At 36.5% G+C, this 25209-nt stretch overlaps 1 protein-coding gene across 1 annotated transcript in view; it reads right to left on the bottom strand.

Annotated features, from left to right (window-relative positions):
* Nucleotides 1-25209, bottom strand: part of UBR3 (ubiquitin protein ligase E3 component n-recognin 3) — a 256678-nt gene that overhangs the window by 82917 nt on the left and 148552 nt on the right. Inside the window, exons 25-26 of the mRNA NM_172070.4 lie at nucleotides 14421-14570; nucleotides 6759-6892 (exon numbers count right to left, since the gene is read on the bottom strand). Coding sequence (NP_742067.3) covers nucleotides 6759-6892; nucleotides 14421-14570 — 284 coding nt within the window. The remainder of the gene's footprint in view (nucleotides 1-6758; nucleotides 6893-14420; nucleotides 14571-25209) is intronic.

Below are 25209 nucleotides of genomic sequence, written 5' to 3'. Positions count from 1 at the left end.
ATTTCCTATTTTTATATTAATGTGGAGTTTCTATTCTTGTGATATCAATTAATGCCTGACTAGATAGTCTTCAGGCACTATCTTTAAAATTGGAATACCATGAAGTTGTAGCTCCCAAACTTCTATACTCATAATGAAAGAGAATAAATATTATGAACTAGCCTTTGTCCGCTCCATAAAATATATGCTCTCAATATTACACTATAGTTCAGTATGAACTATACTGTTGCTGAGATAAAGTATGGTACTGAATCTCTCTATGATTTCTGACATTAACAACTTACTTCTTGAAACGCCTACTTTCCTCTGGTTTAATGCTACTCTCTCGGTTTCGTTCCTGCCTCTTTAACTGTTTTTCTCAGCCTTCCTTCTAAGGATCTTTTTTTCTTTGCTTACCCCTTCAATGTCTATTCCTCTAATCCTCAAGGTTCTATTCTCAGTGCAAGTCTCTTCTCATTAAAACTATTTTTCCTAGTGATTTAAGCAGTAATTTTGACTACCCTGCAAACTTAGATCTCTTGCCTGACCATTAGATACAAGTACTCATGCCACTCAGAAATCTCCAGTTTAATGTCCCACAGACAATATAAAATCAATGTGCCAAAAACGTAAATTGTTATCTTCTCCATGAATCATCTCCCTCCTCTTGGTTCAATAACTCCACAATCTATTTAGTCACCAAGTCAGAAAGCCAAGAGTCATTCTATATCACACTCTTACCTTCATACCACAATATCAGTTCCCAAATCATATGGATTCTGTCTCCTAAATAATTCATGATTTTGGTCTTTCCTCTTCATTTCCAGTACATAATATTCAAGTCTATATCCCACGGAGTGGGAGAAGTGGTTCTTAAACAGTTTCTTAACTCGTCTCCTTAACTCAAATTTGTTCTCTCCATGATGTAACCTCCATACAGCTTTATAAAGTACAAATCTAGTCACAAGAATAACCCAAAAACATGCCTTAATATTTACAAGGTCTTAATATAATATACAATAAAGAAGGGACCCAGACTATATAAGCAAACTATATATCCTTTCCAAATTTGTTTTTTTTTTGTTTTGTTTTTTGAGGTTTTTTTTTTTGAGATTAAGTTTCACTCTTGTTGCCCAGGCTGGAGTGCGATGGCGCAATCTCGGCTCACCACAACCTCCGCCTCCCGGGTTCAAGTGATTCTCCTGCCTCAGCCTTCCAAGTAGCTGGGATTACAGGCATGTGCCACCACATCCAGCTAATTTTGTATTTTTAGTAGAGACAGGGTTTCTCCATGTTGGTCAGGCTGGTCTCGAACTCCCGACCTCAGGGAGTGATCCACCCGTCTCGGCCTCCCAAAGTGCTGGGATTACAGGCATGAGCCACCGTGCCTGGCTCCAAATTTGTTTTAAAAGTTTCTTTCTTTCATCTTTCCTTTCTCTTTTACATCTTCAACTTCGCTTTCATTGCTAATTCCTCCCTCTAAATCTATAAATAGGCTGAAGACTTATTCTCCTAAAATCTCTTTCTTAGAATTTTCATCAATTGGCCTCTGTCAAATAGCATTTGGGCCCAAACTTTAATTCATTCTCTACAATCTGTAGTAAATAGATGGGTGGGCCAGAGCAATATGAAGGCACAAGATCTAACAGGACTGGCAACATATGATGAAAGATTTGAGAGCCATCAAACAAGCATGTACTTACATGCTTAAAAAACTGAATCAATCTTTAAATTTTATTTTTATAATGTAAGATGACCAATGATCTTTAAATGACAGTAAACAAAGTTCCGATATTAAATGAAGACTCTTCACGAGTATCTAAAGTTGAAAGTACTGTGTATTACATAGTACAAAATGACTTCCCAGCCAATTTAAAGATGTGAAGCTGCATAAATCAAATACAGCTGGTGAGCAGGCTTCTACTGTTACAAATCAGAAAAACAACAGGAGGCCTGCTCATCTTTGTTTTATGTTTTGGAGCTGCTTGAAATAGAAGCAGATTTTGGAGTTAGATCATTTTAGAATGATTGGTAGTCCGTTAATAAACCAGCTGCTCTCTTTGGCACTATACTACAAAAAGGCAATTAATCTGTATTTTTAATAAAAATGGCTAGCTTTTAAAACTGGAAACAATGAGTCATTCGTCTACACAACTTTTAGACATTTGAGTTTGCCAGTCAAAAAATGCAGGATAACACTTAATAATGTGAGACTAGTATTTTAGGGAGACCTCAAGTATCCACCACTGTGCTAAGTGCCTAACACTGAAATGTCACAACCTCAATAATTACTAAAACCTCATAAAGAAGCTGGAGTTATCCCTTTTTACAAGAGAGGAATGATAACTTTACCAAGATCACTAAGTTATAAGTTCAAACCCAAGTCTGTCTGACTCCACAGCTCAGGTTCCTTCTCTCTGTTGTGTCATATTTCCCATGTGTTACACTTCCAGTTTCTACCGTGAATGCACTGTCTTATATAACTAATATTCTACATGTCAATTCTGTAAAATGCATGCATTTAATCTGAAGACAGTAGAATCTACAGTTTAATCCTATAATCAATATCAGTGCCCACTGATAGTCATTCTTCTGCTCTATACAGTCTGGTCCAGCTACCACTCTGGTACTCTTATGTTTAGAGTAATTCAGGAAGAAACCCAGTAAGCATCTACAACACACATAGCATGTGCTAGCCCCTGAATCAACATGAGGCATAGCCCTGGACCTCCAGAGGTATGCAGTCTAGGGAAAATGCCATATATACATAAAACAGGTCTTATAAAAGCATACAAAAGTAATGATGTAGGAATAAAAATCTCACAATCACTAACAGAAACACAACAGAGTATAATCCAACTCAGATTTCAGCTCGGAGACTTTTTATAAAAAAGATTTTTTTTCTAGAAATGAATAATTACTCTGGCTGCAAAAAAGAGATACCCTAACTTTTTGCTCCCATTTATTAGATCGTCTCTTCCCTCAAAATTATTATGCTCTTAGGTCTAGGTTTATTTTGATTGAATTTTTAAAAAGTTTTCTATTTGGTGTTGGGATTCATCTTTACCTGTTTACTCTAAAGTAATTAAAAATGATAAAAATTAAAACCAGGATTATTGATAGTGGCAGGAGACAGACAAATTCCTAGACAGACAGGGCCAGGTCTAATTAAAAATGATAAAAATTAAAACCAGGATTATTGATAGTGGCAGGAGACAGACAAATTCCTAGACAGACAGGGCCAGGTCCCTGGTGAAACCCAACCTCCAAACCACAGACAATTTAAAGCCTGAAAACCGAGCTGCAGTTTCAGGTAGAATCCATGACTGGAGTGAGAACTTCCTTGAAAATCAAATGGTGCTTTTATCAGGTCCACACATGGATCATTCAGCATGCACTCCCCCATTCTGAGACCATGAAAACCATGGACTCAGTCACAAGGCAGCTACCCATTTTCAGGCCCCCTCTCACACAGAAGGCTACCCACTTCAGGTCCCCTCTTGTTGTTGAGATCTTTTCTGTCACTTGATAAAATTCTTCTCTGCCTTGCTCACTCTCTGGTGTCCATGTACTTCATTCTTCTTGGTTGTGGGACAAGAACCTACCCACCAAATGGCAGGAGCAAAAAGGGCTGTAACATGCTCCTGGCCGGCTCACAGAGCTGTGGGTAGCGGAAATGAAAAGAGTTGTGACATGCCTCCATTCACTAGACTACGGGAGTGAAGAGCTGTGACCCTTCTGGGGGCCCAGACCTCAGCACTCCCCAAGCAGAAGCTGTGACACCCCCTTGGGGCTCTGTGGTTGCTGGTGTCTCTGAGTTTTCGGGTGCCACTGCATCCCCCTCATTTGAATGCTGGCACCCAGCCATAGAAGCTGCTTGCAGCACACCTGGCCCCACCACAGGAAGAGCTTGGAGCTGCAGTGGTTGCGGGATCCAGGCTGGGGAGCGAGTTGAGCGCAGCCTGCCAGCCAGCCTGGGTAGAGTGAGCCCAGTGGGCCCGAGTGAAGCCCAGGCAGAGGTGCCACCAGCCACAGAGGTTTCTGCCTAGTGAAGTGGCACCAAAAGAATCCTGTGTCGTTATGACAAAAAAATAAAGTCTAAATAAAGTCTAAATAGTAAATTTCTGCAAAAGCAGAACTTAGCATTGTTTCCCAATTTTCCTTGAAAATAAAATATTTATTGGTCTCTGATTAATAAAGTAATATATGTATCCTGTAAAAAAAAAAATCCAAAGCAGGCCGGGCATGGTGGCTCACGCCTGTAATCCCAACACTTTAGGAGGCCAAGGCGGGCAGATCACGAGGTCAAGAGATCGAGACCATCCTGGCCAACATGGTGAAACCCTGTCTCTACTAAAAATATAAAAAATTAGCCGGACATGGTGGTGGGCGCCTGTAGTCCCAGCTACTCGGAAGGCTGAGGCAGGGGAATCATTTGAACCCAGGCCCCAGGAGGCAGAGGTTGCAGTGAGCTGAGATCGCACCACTGCACTCTAGCCTGGCGATGGAGTGAGACTCTATCTAAAAAAAAAAAAAAAAAAACAAAAGTCCAAAGCAATAAAGAACAAAGAAAAAAGTGTGAAAATATGTGTACACACATACGTGTATTTATACACACACACATACAGAGACTGCTACAAAATAACCATAATTTCATTTTAAAGTCTCTGAAAATATACGGAAGCATGACCCTTATTACCTAACCCAAACTGTCTAACAGGCCTAACCTAGCCTTCCTAAATGGGATAGCTTGAATATTTAAAACATCACTTTACATTTATATTGACCTGTATTATATGCAGAGTGACCTATATGCAGAGTGAACCCTAACCTGGTGATTACTGCATGAAAGATCATTATCAGCCCTATTTTACAGATGAGGAAATTGAGTCTCAGACCACTTAAGGGATTTGGCCAAGCTCACATTGCTCAGAAATGGCAGAATCAGGACCAAACCCCAGTTTTTCTGGTCTAGGACTCTTTCTACTCTACACAATACCTCCCTGTAGGTCCATCAGCTCCTGCAGAAGCCACCAGAAACCTTCTTGTCAGCCTAGCATATTAAGGAACCAGACTCTACTCTGGCTCTTATCATCACTAGGTCAGTTCCTATTTATTCTGATTATGTATTCTGTCTTCCACTTATCTTACTAATTTCTTCCACTTCAACCAATGGATTTATGGGCAAGAAAGAAGTTCTATTTGGAAATCTATCCATATAATCATCTTATATAGCTAACTAAAAATAATGTTTTACTTTATATTTTAAGCTAATATCTTACATTTATTTAATTCAAGACACAGTAGATTTAAAAAACTACAACAGGAGAAAGGAAACCCCATTTGATAATCCACTCAGGAAACATCAAAAGGAATACAGAAATTTTAAAAAGACGTTAACAATGCTGCTGCTACTAAAGTTTATGTTGAAGGCCTTCAGATACTTCTGAGTGTCAGAGCCTGAAAAAAAACTACTAAGTTTGTAAGAAGTCGTAGCAGATATGAATCAAATCCATCCTTACTTCACATTTTAAAAGTATCATAATGAAATTTTATTATATATCTTTAAATGAAAGTAAAAGAGGGAGGCAAAAATCTTCATACAACATTCCTACCATAATAAAAGTTTCTACAGAGTTAATACATTAAGTCCTCACTTTAATGTTATCAGTAGGTTCTTGGAAACTGTGACTTTAAGCAGATGATGTGGAACAAAACTAATTTAACCACAGGTTAATTGATATAAACAAGAGTTAAATTCCTGTAGTATATTTCTGATTACAAAAACATCATCAAAACTTCTAAAGACCTAAAACATTTCTAATACGAAACACTGAAATAAATGCGGAGTATGCATACATTTGAGAAAGTTTAATAAAAACAAGATAACGATTTACCCAATTTTTGACAAAACAATGAGTGCTGTCAGTAGTAGTGGTGATGGGTTAAATTAAGGAATAAATGTTTGCAAAGTGAAAATCGTTAAAGAGCACTTCCTATTACCATGCAGTTTAAAAACAAACAATAACAAATATGCGGGTTCACTGAGCCCTTTCATACCACATCGTTATTATGCAGCTGTATAATTATCATATACTTTATAAATTTTTACTTTATCATATACTTTATAAATTTATAAATTAAAAAAATTAATATGTTTTCATTATTTCATTCATTTTCCAGCCTACTTATTCCAGTTCACAGTCATAAGTGGCTGGAGCCTATCCCGCAGCTCAGAGCACAAGGTAGGGATCGACCCTGGGCAGGACCCCATCCCATGGCAGGACACACTCACATCCACACCCATACTGACTCATACCAGGACAATTTAGACATGCTAATTAACCTAATGTGCAGCACATCTTTGAGAAGTAGGAAGAACTGGAATACCCAGACAAAACCCATAAAGACATGGGGAGAACACATAAATTCCCCACTGACAGTGGCCCCAGTAGGGAATTTATTTTTTTCTCATCAACATTATAACAAAACAATGTTGAAAGAAACAACGTTATTTAAGGACCTGCTGTACTCTTCATTCCACTTAATTGAATGTGTGTATCACACAACAAACAACATTTAAAACAAAGGTATCACATTTATTACCTGAAATGTTTATTAACAGATTTCCATTTCTTTCTATCCACATATTAATTTTTTTCTAATAAACTTTCAAATTTAACATCAGAATGCCATTTTGGTAAAAGACATGTAAAATTCTGGAGGGAAATAACCATCAACTTGGCAGACAAAAGTACTATTTTATAAAGAGTACTTACATCCTTAAAATAACGCTGTAATAATGAAAGCCTCACATCATGAACGGCTGCACAGGTATCCCAAGGGTAAATCTGCTCCTCTTCACTGATCGGCAACTTTTTTGGCTCAACATTGTCACGGCACTGCCCCAAAACTACATTAACAGATAAAAGCTCATTAATCAAAAATAATCAGTGCCATAGACCTGTAACTCCAAGAAAAGCTGAGTTATTTACCACAAGCAACTCAAATTATTTCACTATTAGAATATTTTTAAAGACCCCTCAAAAAAGTGGTATTCTAGTTTTCTCCTACAGGCTAAATAAAGCTTCACATATGCCAATATTTACTTTAAAAAATTAACACTGAACTATGATTATAAACTCAAGATGGATGGATGGATGGGTTCCTAAATCTGTCCACTGAAAAAGCCTACATGATATAACTCTCCAGTATTCACAAACTTTATTTCTAAATATACTATTTCTCACTAAAAGGAAGAAGAGATCCTTGGAGAAAGAGCTGAGTCCGGGGTTGGGGAAAAGTGCAAGGTGAGCCCGGAAGGATGTGTGATTAAAAAGAGCAAGGAAGTGTTCAAACACTGAGGGAGCAGATTTATAAAGACCTGGAGTTCTGGTAAAATCTGAGAAAAGTTGAATATTAAAAAGAATAATAATAGTAATAGATAATACAATACGTTCACTGACCCAGGCAAGGAAAATCAAATAAAAGGGTAAAAGGGTGAGTAGAGTCTTAACGTATCATCCTATAGATTACCTACTACCTTACCCAAGGGATCAAACTTAGTTGGCACCACCCACAATAGGACAAATTGACACAGTGAACCTCCTGATGTAATGCTGTTGGAAGGAACATCACCTGTATAATACCCTTGCCAAAACTGTTTAACTTCAATCTAGTAACAAGGAAATAATCACACAAATCCAGACTCTGAGATATTCTATGGAACAACCAACTTGGACTCTGAAACTTTAAAAAGGGGCTAGAGAAACTGTTCTAAATTACAGGAGACTAACAAGAAATGATAATGAAAAACAATACATGATCTTTTATTCGATTGTGGATCAAGAAATATCTGCTATAAAAATATTACTGACTCTGACCACAAAAAATGATATAAGTGTATATGTGTATATGTTAATCAGCCTAATGGTAAAGTGGTATATACATTAATTAGCTTGACTTAATCATTCCACAATGTATACATGTCAAAATATCATATCACATTTATGTACCCCATAAATATGTACAATTTTTATTTATCAAGTAAATAAGAAACAAAAAATATTGCAGGGACAACTGAGAGAATCTGAATATAAACAGTATTTGATGTTACTAATGTTACATTTCTTAGGAATGATAATGGTACCATAATTATGTAAAAGAATATCCTTGGGCTGGGTGTGGTAGCTCATGCCTGTAAACCCAGCACTTTGGGAGGCCAAGGTGGACAGACTACTTGAGGCCAGAAGTTCAAGACCGGCCTGGCCAACATGACAAAACCCCATCTCTAATAAAAATAAAAAATTTAGCTGGGTATGGTGGTGCACACCTGTAATCCCAGCTACTCAAGAGGCTAAGGCATGAGAATTGCTTGAGCCTGGGAGGCTGGGGTTGCAGTGAGCTGAGATCGTGCCACTGCACTCTAGCCTGAGCAACAGAGAGGGACTCTGTCTCAAAATATATATAAGAAATTTTTAAAAAAGAATAACCTTGTTCTTAGGAGTTATATTCTAAAGTATTTACAGATAAAATGTCATGATGTGTGCATCAGAAGAGCTGCTCTTAAAAAAGGGAATAATAGGTTTATCACTGCGGGCCTTAAGTTTTGCAAGGATTTATAACAGCAACAGAAATAAGAGACAAAAGCTGGTAGATGCTACCAGCTAAAATATAATTACCATGATGCATAATCCTCTTAATATGCTGCTGCATTCAGTTTGCTAGAATTTTGTTGAGAATTTTTGCATGTATACTCATAAGGGATATTGGTCTACTGTTTTCCTGTGTTTATCTGGCTTTGGTATCAAAGCTAGCCTCATAGAATGCTAGCCTCTGAATAAGTTGGGAAGTGTTCACTCCTCTATTTTTTGGACAAGTTTGAGAAGCATTGGTGTTAATTCTTTAAATGACTGATAGAATTCACCAGTGAAGCCATCTGGTCCAGTCCTTTTCACTGTCAGATTTTTAAAAATTACTGAATCAATCTTTTTGTTATTAATATGTTCAAACTTTTTATTACTTCTTGGGTCCATTTGGTAGTTTGTATATTTGTAGGAAATCATTCATTTAATCCACGTCATCTAATTTTTTGGCATAAATTGGTCATAGTATTCTCCTATAATCCTTTCTATTTCCGTGAGGTCTGTAGTAAAGTCAATAATTTCATTTCTGATTTTAGTTATTTGAATCTTTTTTAATGTATGCATTTACAGCTGTAAATTTCCCCATTTTCACTGCATTCTAAAGGTTTGGGTATGTTGCATTTTCATTTTCCTTCACCTCAAAGTGTTTTCTAATTTCATTTGTAATTTATTCTTTGGCCCATTGGTTGTTTAAGAGTATGTTGTTTTAGGCCAGGCACGGTGGCTCACACCTGTAATCCCAACACTTTGGGAGGCCGAGGTGGGCAGATCACAAGGTCAGGAGATCGAGACCATCCTGGCTAACACAGTGAAACCCCATCTCTACTAAAAATACAAAAAATTAGCTAGGCATCGTGGCGGGCGCCTGTGGTCCCAGCTACTTGGGAAGCTGAGGCAGGAGAATGGTGTGAACCCAGGAAACGGAGCTTGCAGTGAGCCGAGACCACGCCACTGCACTCCAGCCTGCATGACAGAGTGAGACTCCATCTCAAAAAAATAATAATAATAAAATAAAGAGTATGTTGTTTAATTTCCACATACTTGTGAATTTCCCAGGTTTCCTTTTGTTATTCATAGCTAGTTTCATTCCATTATGACCACAGACAATTTTTTGAATAATTTCAATCTTTTAAAATGTTATTGAGGCTTGTTTTGTGGCCTAACATATGGTCTACCTAGGATAATGTTCCATATACCATTGAGAAAAATATATATTCCACTGTTATTGGGTGGAGTGTTCTATATAAGTCTGTTAGGTCTGGTTGTTTTACAGTGTTGCTCAAGTATTCAGTTTCCTTTCTGATCTTCTGTCTAGTTGTTCTATAAAGTCTCCAATTATTATTTTAGAAGTATCTATTTCTCCCTTCAATTCTGTCCATTTTTGCTTCCTACATTGGGGGCTCTGTTGTTTGGAGCATATATGTTTATAATACCTTCATGATGGATTGGCTGTTTATCAATATATAATCTCCTTCTTTGTCTCTTGTAACAATTCTTAACTTACAGTTTATTTTGTCTCATACTATAACCACCCCAGCTCTCTTTTGGTTACTATTTGCATGGAATCTTTTCCCATCCTTTCACTTTCAACTTATTGTGTCTCTGGATCTAAAGTGAATCTCTTGTAGCATCACATTTTTAAAAATTCATTCTGTCAACCTCTGCCTTTTACCTGGGCAGTTTAATGCATTTATATTTTAAGTAATTATTAACTTTAAAAAAAAATTAATTCTTCCTTTTTGCTATTTGTTTTCTATTTCTTCTTTAATTGATTACTGCCTTCTTCTGTAATTAATTGAATTTTCTGGTATAAAATTTTGATTCCCTTCTCTTTTCTTTTATGTGTGTGTGTGTGTGTGTGTGTGTGTGTGTGTATAACTTTTTTTTATAGTGTTTACCCCAGGGATTAGAATTAACATCTTCACTTTGTAACAATCAAATTTAAATAAATATCTACTTCATTTCAGAAATATACAAAAACTCCTCCATCCCCCTTCCCTTTGTGTTTCTATCTCAATGCCTACACTCTTCCACAAACAAGAACATTATTATTTGGTTTACAAATCTAGATATACAGTTCTTTCCGGATTTACTTTCTTTTATTATATATATTTTTGAAGTGCTATGAAAACTAACTGCTCTTTCTGAATCTTTGCAACTTTGGACTTTCTGAATCTTTGCAAAGATTGTAGGGTTTAGTAAAATGAAAAGACTATATAATATTGTATTATTCTCCTATGGAGAACTGAAGCTCCCCAAATCAGTAATGTTTACAACAGGCATTCTGAGCAATAATGAGATGGCACATAAATTAATATCTTTCCATGTAGATAAATGTACTTAAAGGCCCTTAATTAAGCAGTGTTTTGAAGGGTTCCTAATCAAAAGTCTGTAATTTAGCATAAATCAAATATAAAAATAAAGAGTTAAAAGCATGAGACTTTTCTTTAATACATGGTTTGAAGAACATGGCAATAAAGTATCAGTGAACACTAAAAAGATCTAGAACAATAAGCACACCTAGCATCCAGACTTTTGTCTCTAAATACCATTTCCCACTAAAAAGGAACTAATGCTTCTTTGAGAGATTGCTGATTTCAGGGCAGGAAATGTGTAAGATAAATTTATTGTAACTTGCCACACCAAAAAATGTAGAAAGACCCAAGGCTACTTACTACTCTAGCCTTGTATCAAAAGAACTCAGGAGACAACTCGAATAAGCTCTCAGTGAACAAAGATGGAAGAACACGAGCATCAACAAGAAAGTAACTATAGAGTTATTAATAGAGTTCATAATGATTAAAAACAGTTCACTAATGATACCTGAAAGTACTAATTATCTTTAGAAAATGATTTTTAAACCCCACTATCTCAATATTTTGAGCACCTGTAAATAAAAGGAAAGAATACTATGTCTACCCTGCCTTTCCTGTGTAATCTGTATCTCAGAGCAACAAAAAATAGGTGATGAAGTGAAATTTCTTTTATAGAAGTATATGTCAGCTAATAAACAACAACAAAAAACATGAAAGAGATTTGTAATCTCTGATCAACTGATGGATTTAGGCAGTAATCATCACTTCCTACTAATCTCACAGAGAGAAAACAGAGGGAACAGAGGAATATGTTAAACATCACAGCAACATTCTGAAAAATCCAAATTGGTTTTCAATGATCCAATTTCTTTAAAAAAGTAAAATGATGGGAGGAGGGGGTAAAGATAGAGGGAGAGTGGATCTATTAATTAAAAGACCACAAAGGAATACTGCAACTATAAATAAATTAAGCAAAATAAATAAATAAATAGAGACAATGGGAAAATTTTAAACACTGACTAGATGTTTGATGATACTGAAGAATTTATTTAGGACTGACTGTGGTTATGTTTAAAAAACAAGACCTTTCTTTTTAACAGAAACACTGAATTTTTTACAGATGAAATTATATGATGTCTAAAATCTGCTTCGAAATAATTCTAATAAGGAGGGAACAAATGAAATAAAATTAGCCAGAAATTAATCACTGTTGAAGATAGATGGGGACATGGGGGTTCACTTTGCACATCTCCTTAGCATACTGTTAAAAATTTTCCATATTCAAATCTAAAAGAGAAGAAATGAATCAAAATAAAGCAGCCCAGAGAAAAAAGGGGTAAAAGGGGGAAAGTATCAATGGGTGGATAAGGCTTAGATGGTAAAGAAGGAAACAGCTAGAGAATTCACCTATTATACTAAAATTATTCCTGAGTTTTAATACTCTTTAATGTCAGTTTCTTTTTTTCTTTTTTAATTTTTTTAAAGATAGGGTCTTACTCTATCACGCAGGCTAGAGTGCAATCTCAGCTCACTGCAACCTCGACCTCTTGGGCTCAGGCAATCCTCCCACCTTGGCCTCTTGAGTAGCTGGGACCACAGGTGCACATCACCACACCTGTCTAATTTTACTTTTTGTAGAGACAGGGTCTTACTGTGTTGCCCAGGCTGGTCTTGAACTCCTAGACTCAAGCAATCCTCCCACCTTGGCTTCCCAAAATGCTGGAATTACAGGCGTGAACCACTGTGTCCTGGCAATATTAGTTTCTTATTTTTTTCCTTCTATCTCTAAGGGATAAGGCAGCTACAGTATAGTGGAATTGTTTAATATTTATTGGTCTAGCTAGCATATACAATTGTTTAAAAGAGACTTTAAAAAGTAACAGACCAAATAAACTTAAAAACATAAAATAATGAACAAATAAAAGCTTAAAACAAGAACATAAGTTTCACTGGAGCAGGGATTTTGTTTTGTCTCTTACTAGAACAGTGCCTGACACCTAGGAGCTCAATAAATATCTATGAAATAAATTAATGAATAAAACAAATCATTACATTGATAACTATATAGTATTTAATCACGAAGTTGAAAGTCAATTGGCAATAATCTAATAAACTGCTTTCCTAAGAGTAGTAAAAAGGAAAAGTAGCTGTAAAAGTAGTTAATACTTCCACACATTTCCCTTTCAGTAAGCATTTCTGATTTGGACAGCTCTACTTCAATGTCCCACTAAATCAAGATTTCCCAAATCAATTCATTTTAGGCAAGAAGAGTAACAGAAGAAACGAATTTACTAGGCATCATATTGGATTCTTTTTGTTTATATTACATTGCTTAACCAATACAAAAATCCTCTAAAGTCAATATGAGCTCTCTACATAAAAGAAAAAAACATATTTGGCCACAGTAAGTAAACCAATACCATATTTGAATTCAGGGGAGTTTCTAATATCTAACTCTTTCCACTTTACCCTACTAATTCAGAGAGTTAACACCCTAGAAAATAATCCTCTGGAGAAATATGTAAGAATTTTTTTTCTCTTTATTTTACACATACTCTTGTTGGAAAAGGATTAAATTTATTGTGACTAGATTGTACAAGAATTATCACTACCCTCAAAAATACTTCATTATGGAAGACAATGGACACCATTCAGACAAATCCTTCAAACTTTTAAAATTATATTTATAATTTATAATAAAATTATATAGTTTAAAACTATAGACTGCTAAACATACCAATTCACAGACTGTTTGAACAAATAAAGGCAGAGCTGTCTAAATATGCCTTGTGTAATTAAAAACTGACAATATTTATGGGCTAAGGAGTTTCCCAGATTTTAGAACAATTGTTTTTGTTTTTTTTTTGTTTTTTTTTTTTTTTTGAGACAGAGTCTTGCTCTGTCACCCAGGCTGGAGTGCAGTGGTACAATCTCAGCTCACTGCAACCTCTGCCTCCCAGGTTCCAGCGATTCTCCTGCCTCAGGCTCCCAAATAGCTGGGATTACAGGCGCCCTCCACCACACCGGCCAATATTTTATATTTTTAGTAGAGACGGGGTTTCACCATGTTGGCCATGTAGGCTAGTATTGAATTCCTGACCTCAGGTGATCTGCCCACCTCAGCCTCCCAAAGTGCTGGAATTACAGATGCAAGGCACCACACCCGGCCAGAACAATTATAATTACCAAGAAAGCTGAACGCAGTTATTGGCCACCTAGCATTGGTAATATACCATCACACTTTAAAGAAAAAAATTGTGAAACCATACAGCAAGATCTCTGTTAGGAGTTTCTTCTAACACTCATGTCCAGGAAAATAAGATATAACCGATAAAGAATCTTTGTTATTTGGATCTAAACTGACCCTTGCCTAGTTATAAGTAGACAAAGATATAATTTTCATTTAATACAGATATTTATTAATCTGTTGTATATACTTCAGCTCTAAAATGTTCCCATGAAAAAATTACTTTGATTTTACCTGAGGATGCTTGTAACAGTACAACTAATCCAGTAGGTCGATCTTCAGAGGAGGGGCCACTCTGTCCACAAATAACACAGTCATATACTGCCTCGGAAACCTGTGGTTCTGCCGTGGTGATCTCCATAGGAATATCATTCTCAGGAGAATCTGAGGGAAAAAAGTTACATCTCTTTAATTCCTTAGGAGGAAAATCTCTCTTCAATGAAAGTGTGAGAGAAAAATCAAGTTCAAACAATTTTTAGCTTCAATATCAATAAAGTATACAGTAATAAAACTGTGGAAAAAATAACCTTACTCAAGTAAAATATTTAGACAGATAAAATAATGCAAAGACTTTAATAATGAAAGATTTAAACTAAAATATGGTTAAATACACTTCTAATGTTGTATCATTCAAATATAAAATAGATACAGAAAACATAGAGGCAAAGATATTTGTATCAAAAGAGAAATATTTTAAAATAACATGTTACAGAAAGAAGGGAGATGTTTGTTTTAATTTTCCTTGAGGCACCTAAGGGGTTATTCACAACAACATGACAGCTCTTGGGAAAATATGGTAGTATTTACTAGAATATAAAAGAGAAAAAAACTATTTCTTTCTCACTCTCAATTCTAGTGATTATATCTCAGAAATAGTAGCTATCAATATGTTTTTTAATGTAGGGAAATCATAAAGATATGACCATATTATATATGAATAAAGCAGAACTCATCAAAAATAGCAGTAATCCTCTGGTGATATAATGTTACTAATAGCAAAAAATAAAATATTGAGTTAATAATTATTTACAGATAAAGACACTTAAATTCACGAAGATAAGTGATGCTGCCACTGGTGACAAAGAAATAGGTGGAAGAGACTGGGAAGAACAGGGAAGCAGAAGTGCTTTATGAAATGTTTAAAAGATGGAGGCACATCTAAGTAAATATGTAAAAATACACGTCAGAAATGAGAAAAAAGTCAAGTTTAGATATTTTAAAATAAGAATTCATGCAGATATACACACATCTGATACTTATGAAGAATGACTGAGAGGAAAAGGGACAGTAACCTAAAATAGAACTTTGGGTAATGCCTAGTATTAATGGAAATAAAAAGATGCCACAAAGAAATTAGCAAACAAAAACAAAAACAAAAACAGTACCTGAATAGAATCAAACCAAAAATCACAATGTCTAGGAAAATACACTAGTAGGTCAAAATGAAAAGAAGATTTCAAAAGAAAAAAGTACCAGAAGCCATTAAGAGTTGATATGAGGCCGGGCATGGTGGCTCATGCCTATAATCCCAGCACTTTGGGAGGCTGAGGCGGGCGGATCACCTGAGGTCAGGAGTTTGAGACCAAGCCTGGCCAACATAGTGAAACCCTGTCTCTACTAAAAATACAAAAAATTGGGCAGGCATGGTGGCAGGCACCTGTAATCCTGGCTACTTGGAAGGCTAAGGCAGGAAAATCACTTGAACCCAGGAGGCAGAGGTTGCAGTTAGCCGAGATCGCACCACTGCACTCCAGCCTGGGCAACAAGAGTGAAACTACGTCTCAGAAAAAAAAAAAAAAAAAAAGAAAAGAGTTGATATGAGACTACTTTGGGTCTTAGGGAGAAAAGAGAAGAGAAAACCATGCAGAAAAAAGAAATTGTCTGCTCTCAAGTGCAAAGGAGAACACAGAGATACCTGACAAAGTACAGTGAAATAACTCAGTCTCGTGTTAAGTGCCAAAGAAATACAATTTCATTGACCCTATCTCACACATAAAGATCTTTTTTTTTTTAATAAGTCTTGGTACAATCGACTTGAAAACCTCAAGGAAACCCTGATGCCAAAATACATTATCCAAGATGCTGCTAAGTCATCTTTTCTAGTTTTTAAAAGAAACTTCAATGACAATCTTCAATGGTGATACAGTACCAATGGCATGAAAATAAAATAGGTGAACTCATTTTCATGCAGAGTACTTTTTATTTGAAATCTGACTTTAAAAATTACAGACACCAATGTCCCTTTTTTTCTTCAAGAAACTAGGATCATGGTTTATTTCTGAAAAGAGGAGGAAAAGTCACAGCTTTTTATATCCTATGTTGAATTAAAATGTTATTGGTAATATATGGTTGATTCTATCATTCCAGTACCAAATTCTGACATTTTTAGTAAGATTTAAAAAGGATCTGTGTCCAAATTAAATGCTGTATTTAAATGTGATTATAGTTTCTCACTTATCTGTGAGATATGAAAAAATAAATAACCTATTCTGAAAGAAGACAGGCCCCAAAAAAGTACATACTGTATGTAAATTGTTAAAGAACAAAAGCATGAAAAACTAATATACAGAGTCACAAGTAATGATACTGGTTACTCTTGGAAGAAGCAGTGACAGAAAGAGACCATGAAGGGAGCTTATGGGATGCTAGTAATTTTTATTTCTCAATTTGGATGCTGGTTTCTCAATCTGGATTCAGTTATACAGTCACAATCTGTTTGTTAAAACTCAAAGAGCTCTAAAATCCTGAAACATGCATTATGAGTATATTTCAATAAAAAGGTTTCTTTTAAAAACCCCTACTCTAAATGAGTAACTTGGTATATTCTGTAACAAGTATTATAATAAAGGTACTTAATGCACACATCAATATCTGCACATATTTTCCACACTAAAAAAAAAATCTAAATGATGTGCCATGCAAATTGAGGCAATGAAAAAATTACAATGATTTACAATCTAGGTAAATTAAATGAATAAAAGATGCAAAACTGATAGAGTAATAGTCAAAGATGACAAATCCAAGTGTTACTAGAGACTAATAATGAAAATATTCTTGCTACCAAATAACCCTGGAATTCTTAAGTTCTACTTTAACTTTCAGTTCAATTCAAATTCAAAGGGTTTCTGTATAAAATTCACATTTGCCCTTTTAGAACAAAAGTACTACTTAAATTACCATAATTGATATTATTACAATAAATACAAAAAAGATAACTAAAGCAATAGTTAATTTATCTGTTTGGTTTTACATGAACAGAAAAGAATCTATCTGAATGAAGCAGCTGATTCTTCTGAATGCTATTACACTTAGCCAAATGACCGCAAGATGGCCCCAATTCTCCACTCCTCCCTGTATCCATGCTCTTCACAATGTGATACTGTAATTCCTCCCATCAAGAGAGAGTTTATTTCCCCACTCCTTGAATATCAGCTGGCCTTGACTTGTTTTAATGAAGAGAATGTGGAGGATGGGCGCAGTGGCTCACACCTATAATCTCAGCACTTTTGGGAGGCCGAGGCAGGTGGATTGCCTGAGGCCAGGAGCTCAAGACCAGCCTGGACAACATGGCAAAACCCCATCTCTACTAAAAATACAAAAATTGGCTGGGTGTGGTGATGCGTGCCTGTAATCCCAGCTACTCAGGAGGCTGAGACAAGAGAATCACTTGAACTTGGGAGGCGGAGGCTACAGTGAGCCAAGATCACACCACCATACTACAGCCTGGGTGACAGAATGAGTGAGACTCCATCTCAAAAAAAAAAAAAAAAAAAAAAGGAGAGAGAATGTGGCAAAAACAACAATATGCCTTCCAAAACTAGGCCTCAGGTGATCTTGCATAGTTTCTCTCTCCTGCTCTCACTCTCAACTCCACCTTGCACAGTTTCTCTCTCTTGCTCTCACTCTCAACTCCACCTTGCATAGTTTCTCTCTCTCGCTCTCACTCTCTCAACTCTACCATCTCCATGAGAATAAGTCAAGGTGGGCTACCTTGCCAGAGGAGGAGAGACCAAATGGAACACACATAAGTTGTCTCACCAGCTCATGGCAGCCCCCTGTTAACCAATCAGCAGATCACAGACCCACAATTCAGCCCATGGGTCTGTGGGTGATGAGATCAGCTAAGCCTTCTCCAGAAAAGTTTGGTTCACAACAGAACCACTGAGTCTTCTCATTGACTGATGAAAACTAACTAGGGGTTGTTTTTTTAAATCACTAAATTTTGGGGGACAGCTAGTTACACAACAATTGCTAACTAATATAATAATTCTACTGTATGTTAATTATAATATAGAAACTCAAAAGAATTGAAGTACTTTGCCTTACCAAGATGAGTCATGAAAACTAATATTTAAAGTAATAAAGGTGTTTCCGTCTGGAATATTTTCTAGTCTAAGGAATTAAAAAAATCATTTTCCAAAATGATTTTTATCTTTAATATCTACTTATTTTACAACCATTAATTTAACATCATCAGAGTGAAAAGCTTCCATATTCACAAATACCACAGTTCTACTTCAAGAGTTTACACTGTTACATAAAATTTCCTGTTCTAATATTTGTTAAAAATAGTTAGAGCCTATTTTAATATAAAATTAATCTTTAATTACAAAATAGCCTTTGCCTTTCTTAACCTTTATATTTATAAATTAATTAGATTAATTTAAACTAAAATAAGTATTTATAGAACAATCAAAAATCTTCTTGCTTCATGTTTTGCTTTCATGTTTGTGGGTTTTGTGGCTGAATGGAAGGATGGGGAAATGATATAGGGATGATGTATTCGGTGCCCTCAAAATCATGTGAAATACATTTTTATTTGAAAGAGGAATAAGCAACTGCAAAACACAAGTAGCTGGTTTGCAGCCCAGTGGCAGGCACAGAGAATTTTTATTGCATACATTAATAGAAAATTTTAAATTTTTTAACACAATTTAATTTTTAAAAACAACTGAGAAGTACTTGCTACTAACCTAGCAGGTGAGTTACTATTCATAAACTAAGTACACTACCAGAGTTCCCTGATTTCTGCTAAGAAGTCTGACTTCCCTCAGATAAGTGCCAATACTGCAAAACTCCCACTGCACACTATCATTAATTTTGATAAGGATTTACAGTATTATCTTCAATTAGTCATCATTTTTATTATCATTCTTGCTTTCCTCTTTTTTTAGTTGGTGTATAGAGTATTCGCTTTCTTTTTTAAAAAATAATCTTCCCATTTTATAATAGTTTTAGATTTGCAGATACTACATGTACCCTCCCCCCCACAGTTTCATCTTAAACTTTACATTAGCATGGTATGACTGTTAGAATTAATGAATATATATTAATTTTTATTGATACAATATTGACAAATTAACTAAAGTCCAACTTTTTTCAGGCTTCCTTCATTTTTATCCAATGTCCTTTTTCCATCCCAGGATACCACATTACATTTAGTTGTTATGTCTCCTTATGTTCTTCTAAGAAGAAACTGTGACAGTTTCTCAGACTTTCCTTGTTTCCTTGCTTTGATGAACTTGACAGTTTTGAGGAGTAGTATCCAGGTATTTGCATAACAGTCCTCAATTATGATTTGTCTGATGTTTTTCTCATGATTAGTCTAAGGTTATCGATTTTAGAGAGGAAGATCACAGAAGCATCATTCTCATCACATCATATCAAGGGTACATAATATTAACATGAATTACCACTGCTGATGCTGACCTTGATCACCTGGTTAAGATGTTTCCCAAGTTTCTCTACTGTAAAATAACTCTTTTCCCCCTTTCCACACCAAGAAGCCATTACATGCAGCTCACACTTAAGGAGTGGGGAGTTATATTCCACCTCCTTGAGGGTAAAGGCTCTACATAAAATACTAGGTATTCTTCTGCATAGGAAACTTCTCTATGCTACCTTATTTATTCAATCATTTATACTAGTATATACTCATTGATATTTCTTTTATACTCAGGGTTATAATGCATTATACTTTACTTTGTTGCTCAAATTGTTCCAGCTTTGGCCACTGGAAACTCTCAGTTGACTCCTGTGCCCCTTGACATAGCCCCAGCCCATATCATCACTAGAGGGGGTGGGGGTTGTTTGTTTTTGAGTACCCCTCTACTTTCTGGCCCTATGAGATACACCAGATCCACCCTGCATGTTCCCTGCCCCAGTTCTTAAAAATCAACCATGCCTCCAAGGACCCTAGTTCCTCTTTTCAGCAAGGGAGGAGGGGACTGTATTAGAAACCAAGATCGGGGGGAGGGGGGAGGGGGGAGGGATAGCATTAGGAGATATACCTAATGCTAAATGATGAGTTAATGGGTGCAGCACACCAGCATGGCACATGTATTCGTATGTAACTAACCTGCACTTTGTGCACATGTACCCTAAAACTTAAAGTATAATTAAAAAAAAAAAGAAACCAAGATCTGGGCAATGGGTGTGCTTGTACCTGGGAAATATCCATGAGTACATACTAATATAAATGAACGAACAAATAAACAAGGGAACACAGATAAGTTTCCTTAGCAGAAGAATGCCAAATATTTTATATAGTGCCTTTACCCTCAAGGAGGTGGAATATAACTCCCCATTCCAGTTTCTACTGGGATGTCCTTGCTTCTAGGCCCTTTCAGCTGACAAAAGAAGGGACTACGTGTCTGTACACTAACTCATGCATATGCATATGCCTGTATTTATACATATATAATTCCATCTTTATCTAGAGCTGTCTAAACATGAGTTCATACTAATGTCTCCAACTCTAATCCATTATTATCACATGAATCATTCTAGCCTTCTCCCCTTATCTGTAACTTCTTACTCCAACGGCGAGAAATCCAGCTCTCATCATCTGCCATTCATTTACTTAATTGTTCAACCTCAGTATATACGTATAGTGGTTTCAGAATTGTTAACTCATGATGCCATGGGGAAACTTTTATTCACTGGTTATACACAGTTTCTTTTGCCTTTAGTCTTATTGTTGCTATTTATTTCCAAAGTTAGGTAGCCAGCACCTTTCCCCCTACTCTTTTCAGTGAGGTTGTTTCATACATCACAAGTTCATACATCTGTAATACAGTTATATTCTCCTGTCATAGTCTGCATTCCATCCTGGGATCACCCCAACTCCTAAATGATTTTTTAAAATATACATACTTTAAAGATTCACTCTTTCTGCTATAAAGTTCTAAGGGTTTTAACAGTGTTACATATCGAACTTTACTGTGTCACACAGAATAATTTCAATGCTCTAAAAAAACTCCCATGTTTCATTTATTCACCTGTGCCTCAACCCTGACAACCAGTGATCTATTTACTGTCTCTAGTTTTGCATTTTCCAGAATGTCATATAACTGGAAACACACAGTATGTAATATTTTCAGATTGGCTACTTTCACTAAGCGGTATGTATTTAAGATTCATCCATGTCTTCATGTGGCTTAATAGTTCATTCCTTTTTATTGCTGGACGGTATTTCATTATACGTATGTGCCACAGTTTCTTTATCCATTCATCTATGGAAGGACATCTTAGCTGCTTCCAATTCTGAGCAATTATAAATAAAGTTGCTATAAAAATAAGTATGAAGATTTTTTGTGTGGAAATAAGTTTTTTAATCAGTTAAATAAATATCTAAGAGCACAAGTGATGGATCATATGGTAAGATTAAGCTTAGCTTTACAGGAAAATGCCAGACTCTTCCAAAGCAGCCGTACCATTTTGAATTGCAACCATCAATGAATTAGAGTTCCCACTGCTCTGTATTCTCACAAAAAATTGGTAGTGTCAGATTTCAGGATTTCGCCATAGCCATGTAGTGGTATCTCACTGTTGTTTTACTCTGCATTTCCCTAATGATAATGATGCTGAGCATCTTTTGACATACTTATTTACCATTCTTGCATCTTCTTTGTAAGGTGTCTGTTCAGATCTTCTGCTCATTTTAAAAACTAGGTTATTTGTTTTCTTATTGTTGAATTATTTATATCTTTTGAATACCAGTCCTTTATCAGATGTGTGTTTTGCAAATATTTCCTCTCAGTCTATGGCTTATCATTTCATTCTCTTAACAGTACAATACCTCCTGGGGAACTGATGCCCTGGCTGAGCTACAGAGCCTAGGGCTAGGCCGATATAACACCCCTCATCCCAGGAAAACAGAGCAGTGGCTGAGCTGAGACATTCCTCCATACAGGTCAAACAACTCTAGTAACTTGCTTCCCTGGAGCTAGACTAGCCCCTAGAGTCTGAGCTGCTGAGACACCCTTCTCCATGGGGAGTGGACTCCCTGCTGTGCTGCTCCATAACCCTCAAGGGCCCAAATGACATCTGTATTTGGCCATTCTGACATACTTGCTGACACTGCACCTGGGATCACAGAGTCTGGGATACTGCCAAGCCCCACCATCACAGGGTCTAAGGTAACCACTACACAGTACTACATCCCCAGGGACATGGCTGCTACTAAGCCCTACTGGCTCAGACTCCCAAATAGTGGCTATACCCTGCACCCTGGGCTCAAACCTCAGGAGCACCCTTTCTTCCCCAGAGGCAAGATGTGACCTGTTCCCCCGGGGTAAACAACCCAACTCCCTGAATCCAAGCTGCTAGAAGGTGCCTCAGAGTCACAGATCCTGACTCTGTGGCAACCTAAATCTACCCCTACAACAGAGAGCAAAATGTCACGCCAAGACCCAAGTGCCATAATAGGTTCATGAAACCCAGGCCCCACAGCCCCTCCAAGCACCTGCACCTGGAACCCAGCGCTGCTACTGGTACTCACAGTCCATGAAAGACATGACACCAAGAGGGATCCCCTTGGGTAAGTCTCCCCACTGTGGAGAAAATGAGAATAGGCGGAGCCCAAAAGGCCTTGCCACCAAGGACATTAACAGCCTATGTCACCACTGCTGCTACCACAAACTTCTATAGCCTAGGCCACAGTTATTGCTGATGTTGAACACCACCAGAGAAGCTGCATGGAAGTTATACCACTATACCCACCCAGAAACAGAGTCACCACATCTTTCCCAGCCAGCACACTAAGATTCAACTGCAGGTGAATCATTCTCTACAAAAGCCAATCTAGGAAGTTCAGAAGACACAACAATTCCACAAGATGTACAGATATCAATGCAGTGACATAAGAAACATGAAAAAGCAAGGAAATATGACACGACAAAATGAACTGATGGCTAATACGAGGTGTCAATTTGACTGCATTGAGGGATGCCTAGATGGCTGGTGGAACATTGTTTCTGGGTGTGTCTGTGAGGGTTTTCCAGAGGAGAATGACATGTGAGTCAGTGAATGAAAGAGGAACATCTGCCATCATTGTGGGCGAGCACTATCCAACAGACTGTGGGTAAAGCTAGAACAAAGCAGGCAGAAGGGTGATATTCAGCTTGCTTGGTTTCCTCTCTCTCTCTCCCTCCCAGAGCAGAACACCTTTTCTCCTCCTGCCCTTGGACATTTGACACAGGTTCTTTGGCCTTTGGGCTTTGGGACCTGTAACAAAAGACTCTTGGGGGTTTGCAGGCCTTCAGTCTCAGACCGGGTACTGTACTGTCAGCTTCTCTGGTTTTGAGGGTTTTAGACTTGGAATGAACCATGGTACTAGCTTTTCTCATCCCCCGGCTTGCAGATGGCCGATCATGGGATGTCACCTTTGTAATTATGTAAGCCAATTCTCCCCAGTAAACTCCCTTTCATATATACATATCCTACCATTTCTGTCCCTCTGGAAAAACCTAATATAGATTTTGAACTTCGTATCTCTCTAGTAACAGACCCAAATGAAAAGGAAATCAACAAATTGCCAGGAAAAAAAATTCAAAAGACGAATTTTAAGGAAACTCAATTAGATACAAGAAAATACAGATATATAATTCAATAGAATCAGGAAAATTTCTTATGCATAAGAAATTCAACAAAGAGACAGATATCATGAAAAAGAACCAAACAAAAATCCAAAAGAGTTGAACCAAACAAACAGCTGAATAAATCAAACAAAAAAATACCACAGAAAGCTTCAACAGCAGACTTGATCAAGTAGAAAAAGGAATCTCTGAACGTGAAGATAAGTCATTTAAAATTACTTGAGGGGGAAAAGAATACAAGAGTGAAAAAAGCCTATAAGATTTATGGAACACCATTAAGTGAACAATTAAGAAGAGATAAAAATGGCATAGAAAACCAGTAACACCTGAAAAATTCCCAAGCCTGGGAAGAAATATGGACATCTAGATCCAAGAAGCTCAAAAGTTCTCAAATAGATTAGACTCAAAAAGGTCCTCCCCAAGGCAAACAAAGTCAAATTGTAAAAAGTGAAAGACAGAGACAATTCTAAAAACAGCAAGAGAAAAGCATCAAGTTACATATAAGGGAATCCCCATTAGACTAAGAACAGATTTCTCAGCAAAAACCTTATAGGCCAGTAAAAAATAGATATTTTCAAAGTTCTGAAATTTTGAAAGAAAAGAATTGCCTACCAAAAATACTACACCCAGCAAAGCTATCCTACAGAAATAATGGAGAAATAAAGTCTCTCCTAGACAAGGAGAAACTGAGGGAATTCATCACCACTAGACCAAACTTACAAGAAATGCTCAGGAGAGTCCTGCATGTGGAAACAAAAATGCAATAATCACCATCATGAAAAAATGAAAAAGTATAAAACTCACTGGCAGACCAGATACACATAGTAGAAATAAAAAAAAAAATCAAACATTATCACTACAGAAAATCACTAAAACACAATGATAAACAATAAGAGAGGAAGAAAGGAACAAAGGATACACAACCAGAAAACAATTAACAACAACAAAAAGCCCTCATCTATCAATAATAAACTTGAATGTAAACCAATTAAATTCTCCACTTAAAGCATACACACTGCCTGTATGGATTTAAAAAAAAAAAGTGGCCCAACTATATGCTGCCTACAAGAAATTCACTTTGCCAGTAAAAACACATATAAACTGAAAGTAAAGGAATTAAAAAAAAAATTTCAAGCAAATGAAAA

The sequence above is a fragment of the Homo sapiens genome, chromosome 2 (assembly GCF_000001405.40).
Source record: "Homo sapiens chromosome 2, GRCh38.p14 Primary Assembly".
In the NCBI taxonomy this organism is placed as follows: domain Eukaryota; kingdom Metazoa; phylum Chordata; class Mammalia; order Primates; family Hominidae; genus Homo; species Homo sapiens.
This window is presented reverse-complemented; position numbering and strand designations above follow the sequence as displayed.